At 44.7% G+C, this 7,489-nt stretch overlaps 1 protein-coding gene across 1 annotated transcript; it reads left to right on the top strand.

Annotated features, from left to right (window-relative positions):
* The first annotated feature begins 261 nt into the window (after positions 1 to 261).
* Positions 262 to 931, top strand: LOC122394732 (uncharacterized). The gene has a single exon (NM_001395917.1). The coding sequence runs from the start codon at positions 315 to 317 to the stop codon at positions 546 to 548; it is 234 nt and encodes a 77-aa protein (NP_001382846.1). The 5' UTR covers positions 262 to 314; the 3' UTR covers positions 549 to 931.
* Positions 932 to 7,489: the final 6,558 nt, after the last annotated feature.

Consider the following 7,489-nt stretch of genomic DNA (forward strand, 5'->3'; position numbering starts at 1 on the left):
GAAAGGCACTTACCTTTCAGCCTAAGTAGAAGCCCAGGATGGCAGTCAGCATCCTTATGGCCATTCTGGTCTATCAATGCACTCATCTATATTTTTACACTAAGAACAGCTGCAAGCTTAAAATCTTCTCACTAGTAAATGTAAGGGTTTTGGGCTAAGTGGATCTCTGATGCCACTCAGCTCCAAGATTCTGTTCCCATGGTGCTGTGGTTATAATATTCCAAACCACAGGAGAATCATTTTCCAGAGACATTTACAGGCAGCCTCACTGTCCTGTCTTGAACATCCTCCACCAAAGTGTGAACACAGGTGGCATGGGCTTCGTAACGAATAAGAGCGCCTTCAAAGCAGGAGATTCCCTGTACCTGCGAAGGGCCTTCGTGAACAACCTTGGAGAGGAAAGGAGAACCAGGATTCAGATCCAAAGCATCCAGAAGGCTTTAGACATCCAGATCAGGGAGATTGATAGAGAAAAAGCAGCCCTGAAGAGATTTTTGGTAAAGCTTCACAAGACAACTGGCTATTTTCCTCAAAAGCCATTGTGGTGACTGATGCTGTGCCACCATAGGGGACGAGTTCATCTGAAACATCCAATACAGACAGAACACACCTGGGTCTCCTTCTGTATCTCTCTGTGACCCAAGAAAGCAGTAGAAGTGGCTACTGGGACAAGCCAAAAAAGAAAAAAAAGGACTAGATAATTGAGGACACAAATGGACTGCCTCTAAAATAATAAACAAAACCTCCTACAAAAGAGAGAATAATGCGCTGATTTTTTTCCCAGCTGATTCTATTTCTTTACAACTTGAGGTGGTAATATGCAGTGCACGTGTTATTTTCTTACAGATTCTCCTGGAGGCAAGAATAAAGCTGAGCTATTTTAGAGATCTTTCAGATACTGATCATGAAATACATATTATATTTGCCTTAATCCTGTTCTCTTCTCATTGATATCATTTTCAATTATTTTCTACAGTTTTAATAGCATGAGTAAATAATAATAAATATTAAAATTAAGGTGAAAATAATAGTGGGAAATACATGGAATTTTGTATCTATAAGAAAACTCAATTTAAATGTAGGTTTTCCCATGTATTAGTTGTATGTTCCTAGACTTAAAAACTCATTTTTTAAATTCAACATGAGGATAATACCTATATTAAAATATTGTTTTTAAGGATTAAATAAGATAACATATATATAGGGCATATTGCAGCCACCCCTAAAATGGTACTAGCTCTTGTGATGACTGTTGTTTCCATTAATATTTTTATTACTGTGTAATAGAGGTCAAGTTCTGTTCCCAGCTCTTTCCAGGATTGCTAGGCAAATCCGTTTCCATTCGTAGGCATTCATTTTTTTCTGAGGCTATAATATGAGAGTCAGACTAGATAATGTCCACAGGCCCTTTCAATCTTAAGTTCTTTGATACTATAACTCCATGGTTATACTTTGAAATGTGTTTGCAGCATCCTAGAGAAAAAAAATCTAACAATCAGAATGCACACACCAAGGCGACTAGAGGCTTGTATATTCCTACTTAACCATGACGTATCTACCACCCTCATGTTTAAATATACTTGTAATTCAAGTACAAAATATCTTAGTGGCCTCATTTTTTTTTTTTTTTTTTTGAGACGGAGTCTTGCTCTGTCGCCCAGGCCGGAGTGCAGTGGTGCAATCTCAGCTCACTGCACCTCTGCCTCCTGGGTTCAAGTGATTCTCCTGCCTCAGCATCCCGAGTAGCTGAGATTACAGGCACGTGCCACCATGCCTGCCTAATTTTTTTGTATTTTTAGTAGAGACAGGGTTTCACTGCATTAGCCAGGGTGGTCTCGATCTCCTGACCTCATGATCTGCCCACCTCGGCCTCCCAAAATGCTGGGATTACAGGCGTGAGCCACTGTGCCCGGCCCAGCCTCTCCTTTACACACACACACACATACACACCATGAATAGATACATATATACATGTGTATACACACACATATGTATTATATGTATGTGGGCGGCAGGATCAAGGGGGATGTGGTTAGGCTGTGGGTTTTCTATGAGGGAGAAGGGGAAGGTAAAAGTGTCGAGTGGTTTCTTGGCCATGTGCAGCCATATCAGTGCTTCTGTGTACCTGAAAACTGTAATTACGTTGTGGCCAGTGTGGTCACGGGCAGAGGTCGCAGCCTTTCTTGTTGATAGTCCCTCATTGGTTGTGAATTTAAATATTGTGTAGTTATGCCCTAGGGGGTGCAGAGTTCATATAATGTAATTAGGACTTGGGACACCATCTTGGCTTTTTTTGTTTTTGTTTTTTGAGACAGGGTCACGCTCTGTCACCCAGGCTGGAGTACAGTGGTGCAATCTCAGCTCAGTGCAACCTCTGCCTCCTGGGCTCAAGCCATCCTCCCACCTAAGCCTCCTGAGTAACTAGACCTCATGCCACCATGCCTAATTTTTGTATGTTTACTAGAGACGAGGTTTCATCATGTTGCCCAGGCAGGTCTTGAACTCATGAGCTCAAGCAATCCACCCACCTTGCCTCCCAAAGCGCCAGTATTACAGGCGTGAGCCACCATCCCTGGCTAGAGGCAGCATTTTGATGACTCAGGTCACCATTGTCATCTACATCGTTTCAGTAGCCCCCGTTTTAAAAGCTCATTATATCTTTCTATGATACCCACTGCTGTTACTTTGTAATGTTACTTTGTAATACCCATCGTTGCATTTGCTTTGTGGTACAAGAAGAGCCTTGATCTGACTGTGTAACTTGTGGCACACCCAAAGGCTGTAAAAGCTGTTTTGGTAACCCATTGTGACATTAGTAGAGGTTCCTGCCTCACATGGGTAAGCAAATGGATGGCCTGTGTAGATATCCCTTAGCATATTCATTGGCTCCTGTCACTGTAGGGGGAGGCCCTTTGAAGTTGATTTGCCAGTTCTGATAATGGCCTTCCTGTGAATTTCTCCTCCCAGGCAGTGAACCCAGTATCTAAATTTCTAGCATGGTACAGTCCCTAATAACCTTGCATAAATGTGTCTCTGCTGGGTTGACTCCTCTGTTAATAATTCCTTTTTGACCGGGCATGGTGACTCACGCCTGTAATCCCAGCACTTTGGGAGGCAGAGGCGGGTGGATCACTTGAGGTCAGGAGTTCTAGACCAGCCTGGGCAACATGGTGAAACCCTCGTCTCTACTAAAAATACTAAAATTAGCCAGGTGTGGTGGCACGTGCCTGTAGTCCCAGCTACTTGGCAGGCTGAGGCACAAGAATTGCTTCAACCCAGGAGGCAGAGGTTGCAGTGAGCCGATATTGCACCACTGCACTTCAGCCTAGGTGACACTGCAAGACTCCATCTCAAAGAAAAATAAAAAATAATAATTCATTTTTGTAACCCCATGATGCCCAAATGCCCTGACCTCTCCTCTTACATGCCCTTGCATGGGATAGGGTAGCTCATCCCAAAGCTCTAGGACTCTGCCTCCTTCAAGAGGCTTATCTGCTGGTATGCTATGGTTAGTTCATCAGCTTTGGTGTTGTGTCATGCCTCTTCCATGTCTTGTCTGGTATGAGCCAAGGTACGGTGCATCAAGGTAGGCAGAATGGGAGCCACTGTAAGTGTTAGTGCAGCATCTTGGCTCTCGAGTAAATACAAATTAATACCAGGCCAAACAGTAATTTTTCTCAGGCAAGTTTTAATGGGCTTGAGCTCAATCAAAGCAAGGGAGCAGTGCCCAGGAAAAGGACCCCAGTGCTACAGCCAAAAAGGGCTCAGCTCTTGTCATTTTAAGGAAGCTGAGGCAGAGAAAGGAATGACATAGAAGCTGTGAGAGTTAAAGAAAGAGGAAAGAAACACAAAAAGTGGCTCAACAGTCAAAGACAGGTTTATTTTGGAGAATGAACCTGAGAGGGGTTTCTGGCCGATTTCAGTCAGGAGCACTCTCTCTTACAGACTAAGAGTATTTAAGTGTTTTAGGGCAAGATAGCTTATCACAGGCTTGGAATGTTTCTGTGTGGAGGAGAAGTTTATTGCGGGGTTTGGAATGTCTCCAGCTGGAGGGGAGGTTATCTCGGGGCTGGCATGTGTCTGGTTGGGGAGGGGTTTATCTTAGGGGTTGGAATGTTTCTGGTTGGAGATGTCATTTGTGATTTATGGTCATGCTGACCTTAGCTGATGCCCTTTGGATTTAGGTGGTTTCTGATCAAGGGGAATTTTAAAATGGTGGTGCTTGTCCAAGATGGTGATGTTCCTGCTCTGTCAGAAGCCTGTTTAGGCAGTTTTCTTTGTGCCTGTACAGTGGGGTGTCATGCCCTAACATACATTGCATAATTAGAAAATGGTAGATAAGCCCCAATTTGGGCAGAGATTTTCGTATTACAGTGAGATTATGAGGAAAACTCAGTGAAAGGTCAGTGCTGAAGTCCATCTTGTCTTCAGCCAACTGGATCTGGTCCAATTCTCATAGGGAATGCCAGAGTTTTGTTTTAGTAAACTTGGAATATGGTCAGGTTCTTATCAGGAATGCTAGAGTCCGGCTTTTAGCAACCTTGGGAGACATCACTTAAGGCAATAAACAGTTTCTTCTATTTGTGGTTAAGAATTCAGCCTGATCAGCTAAGTTAGGAGAGGCTTCCCTTCTGCTATGTGACTTAGGTCAGCTTGTTAAGGGAGGCAAGAAGGTAGGGGAGGGAATATGCCTGGACATGTGAGCCCCATGAGCCTCGGTCTACAAAGACCAAGTCTCTTTCCTATACTGTCTCATAATGATTATTTTCCCTACATCTTTTTACCCTGAATATCTTGGCCTTGTATTTTCCAGCTCTGATATTGCCAAAGTCCCAACCAAGTAGTTAGCTCATTAGCCATTAACCAAGAGTTCATGAAGATAGAAACCTTGGGAAAATGGCGTATCTATTGCTAGGAGTAATGCACATATGGAATGAGTGTCTGAATGGGGTTAAAGGCTGTAGCTCTCCTTGGTCTGAATTCCTTATGCCCTGTGCTCCCTCATCAGTAATGAGAGGCCATTGGTTCTCTTGTTTTGAGATTGCTGACCATCCTCCCTCCAGTCCCCACTAAGCAAGAGGCAGAGGCATTTTCAGGATTTTGGCAAGTTGACCTCAGTGGCAGGGTATGTGGCTATTTTCTCATGGAATGTTACACTCCAGTAGGACTAAATGTGAGTTGATTCTGTAAATACCATTTCCATTGTAGTAAGAAGGTTTCTGTTGCTGATCCAGTTTTACAGTAAGCTTTTTCCATTACCCAGGGCATAATAGGAATCTTGGTTCATAGGGTAAATGGGCTCTGCCCTAGTAAGGGCTTCAATTTTGATAACTAAAAAGCAGAAAATTTGTGGGTGACTGGATACGAAGAAATATGGGAGGAAGGGATGTATTGGTGCCAGAATCCCAGTGTTGATTGAATCCCTTTATTGATGTGGGAGGTTGGAGAGCTAGGAGATTCTCTTTTGCCAAATTGGGAATAGTTTACCTCTCTGAGTTCTAGGTGTAGCCCAACACTTTAACAGGTCAGGAGGGGTCTTGCACCTTATGTGGGGCAACTGTCCATCCCCTCAGTGGGGTGCTTGCTCACAGCTGTGATGACCTGTGAAACAAAGTTTTGGTCAGGACCAGTGAGGAGGATGTCACTGATATGATGCCAAAGCTAAGTTTCTTGGGGGAAGTGTGGGGCAAGCATCGGGGTCCTCTTAGCAAAGTCCAGATGTAAGTAAAGGCCTTTCACCACAGTGCAGGCAGTCAGGTAAAGCTGTGCTGTTGACTCTCAAAGGTTAAGTCAAATTGTGGTTGGCTGTCATGAAAAAATTTTAGTGAATAAAACCTGTTAGCCAAGTCTGTGCAGTAACTCTAAACCATTTACCCATGTTGTTTTGAATGTCATCCATTAAGGTGACAATATTTGGTAGAGATGCTGTAATGAAGAGAACAGCATTGTTTAGCTTTGTATCATCTATAATAAGTCCAGTCATCAGTAACAGCTTTAAGCACAGGCTTAAAGGAACTGAAAGGTGAGATGGTAGGAATCAGCATCCCTTCTTACCCAAGTCAGTCCCGACAGGCTGGCACCCTTCAGTGTCTTGTCTTAGGCAGCACAGTGGTGTATCTACCACCTCAACTGGATAGAGGAAGGCTGACCGATTCCCACAGGGAACCCACCCACCAATAGTGTAAAAGTCTTAGGCTTGTTGCTGCTGACTGAGGAGGTCCATTCAGTAGTGGGAACAAGAGAGAAGTATTTCTTAGCAAAATGGAACTAACTTTATTTATTTATTTATTTAGAGACGGAGTCTTGCTCTGTTGCCTAGGCTGGAATGCAGTGGCACAATCTCAGCTCACTGCAACCTCTGCCTCCCAGGTTCAAGCAATTCTCCTGCCTCATCTGAGTAGCTGGGATTACAGGCACACGCCACCACACCTAGCTAATTTTTGTATTTTTAGTAGAGACAAGGTTTTGCCACGTTGGCCAGGCTGGTCTCAAACTCCTGACCTCAGGTGATTCACCCACCTCGGCCTCCCAAAGTGTTGGGATTACAGGCATGAGACACCATGCCCGGCCCTAGGGACTAACTTTAATAGTTAAGTGGCTTATTAATCTTCCTTCCAAGCCTGTCACCTCCTTGAAGTGTCCCTTTAAAGCATGAGTGCTTCCTGGGTTAGGGAGATTTGAGCATCCACATCCAACAGAGCCAGGCTGTGGTGTTTATTTTTTGGAACCCAAACCACAGTTAATGGAATAGGGTGATTGTCTTTCAGGGGAACCTGATTCCACAATCACCAAATCCCTGTGTAGGGTGGGTACCTGCCACTGGTGGAGATCAGGGGCAGGCACAGAAGGCGGGGATGGCTTGAAGGAGATACCATAATCTGACCCTAGTAAGAACTGTAACTGCCCCACGGGTTTCCCAGAGATCATCCAATTTGGGACCCCCTTGTTCCTTAGGTTCTAGTATAACCTCTCTTGTACATCTTGGCAGGAGCATGGTTGTAGGTGGTTTGTTTGGCTTGCGGAAGGGAAGCAGCCTCATGGTCGATGGCAATTTTAAAAAGTCAGGCCCAGATAGGGAAAGAGCAAGACCCTGAGATGTGGGATTAGGACATTTGAGTGGGCAATCAGAGAATTTTGACCTCCCCGCTTCAGATTTCCTGAGGCCTCCTGATGGTCTTACATGAAGTATATGGGAGCCTTGGCTCTGTATGGCCCTAGGCCCTACTATAGCCTTTGCAAGGGGGAGGCAGGTCAGGCAGCATGGGCTGTGCCACCCTCTTCTCTCACCTGTTCCAGGGTGTCTGATGCTTCTTGCAGACAACTCTGGGTGCCCCAAGAACAGATGAGTCATAATGATAAACAATTTATCGTCTTTTAACCAATATGTGGGGGGTGGGGAGGGGTGGGCATGAGGCCAGGGGAGCATCCCTTGTCCCCAGGAGGGAAGCTTTGAATGGTGAACCAAGACTGGGGACTCTGGTCCCCACCT

This window comes from Homo sapiens, chromosome 9 (genome assembly GCF_000001405.40).
Source record: "Homo sapiens chromosome 9, GRCh38.p14 Primary Assembly".
Classification (NCBI taxonomy): Eukaryota; Metazoa; Chordata; class Mammalia; order Primates; family Hominidae; genus Homo; species Homo sapiens.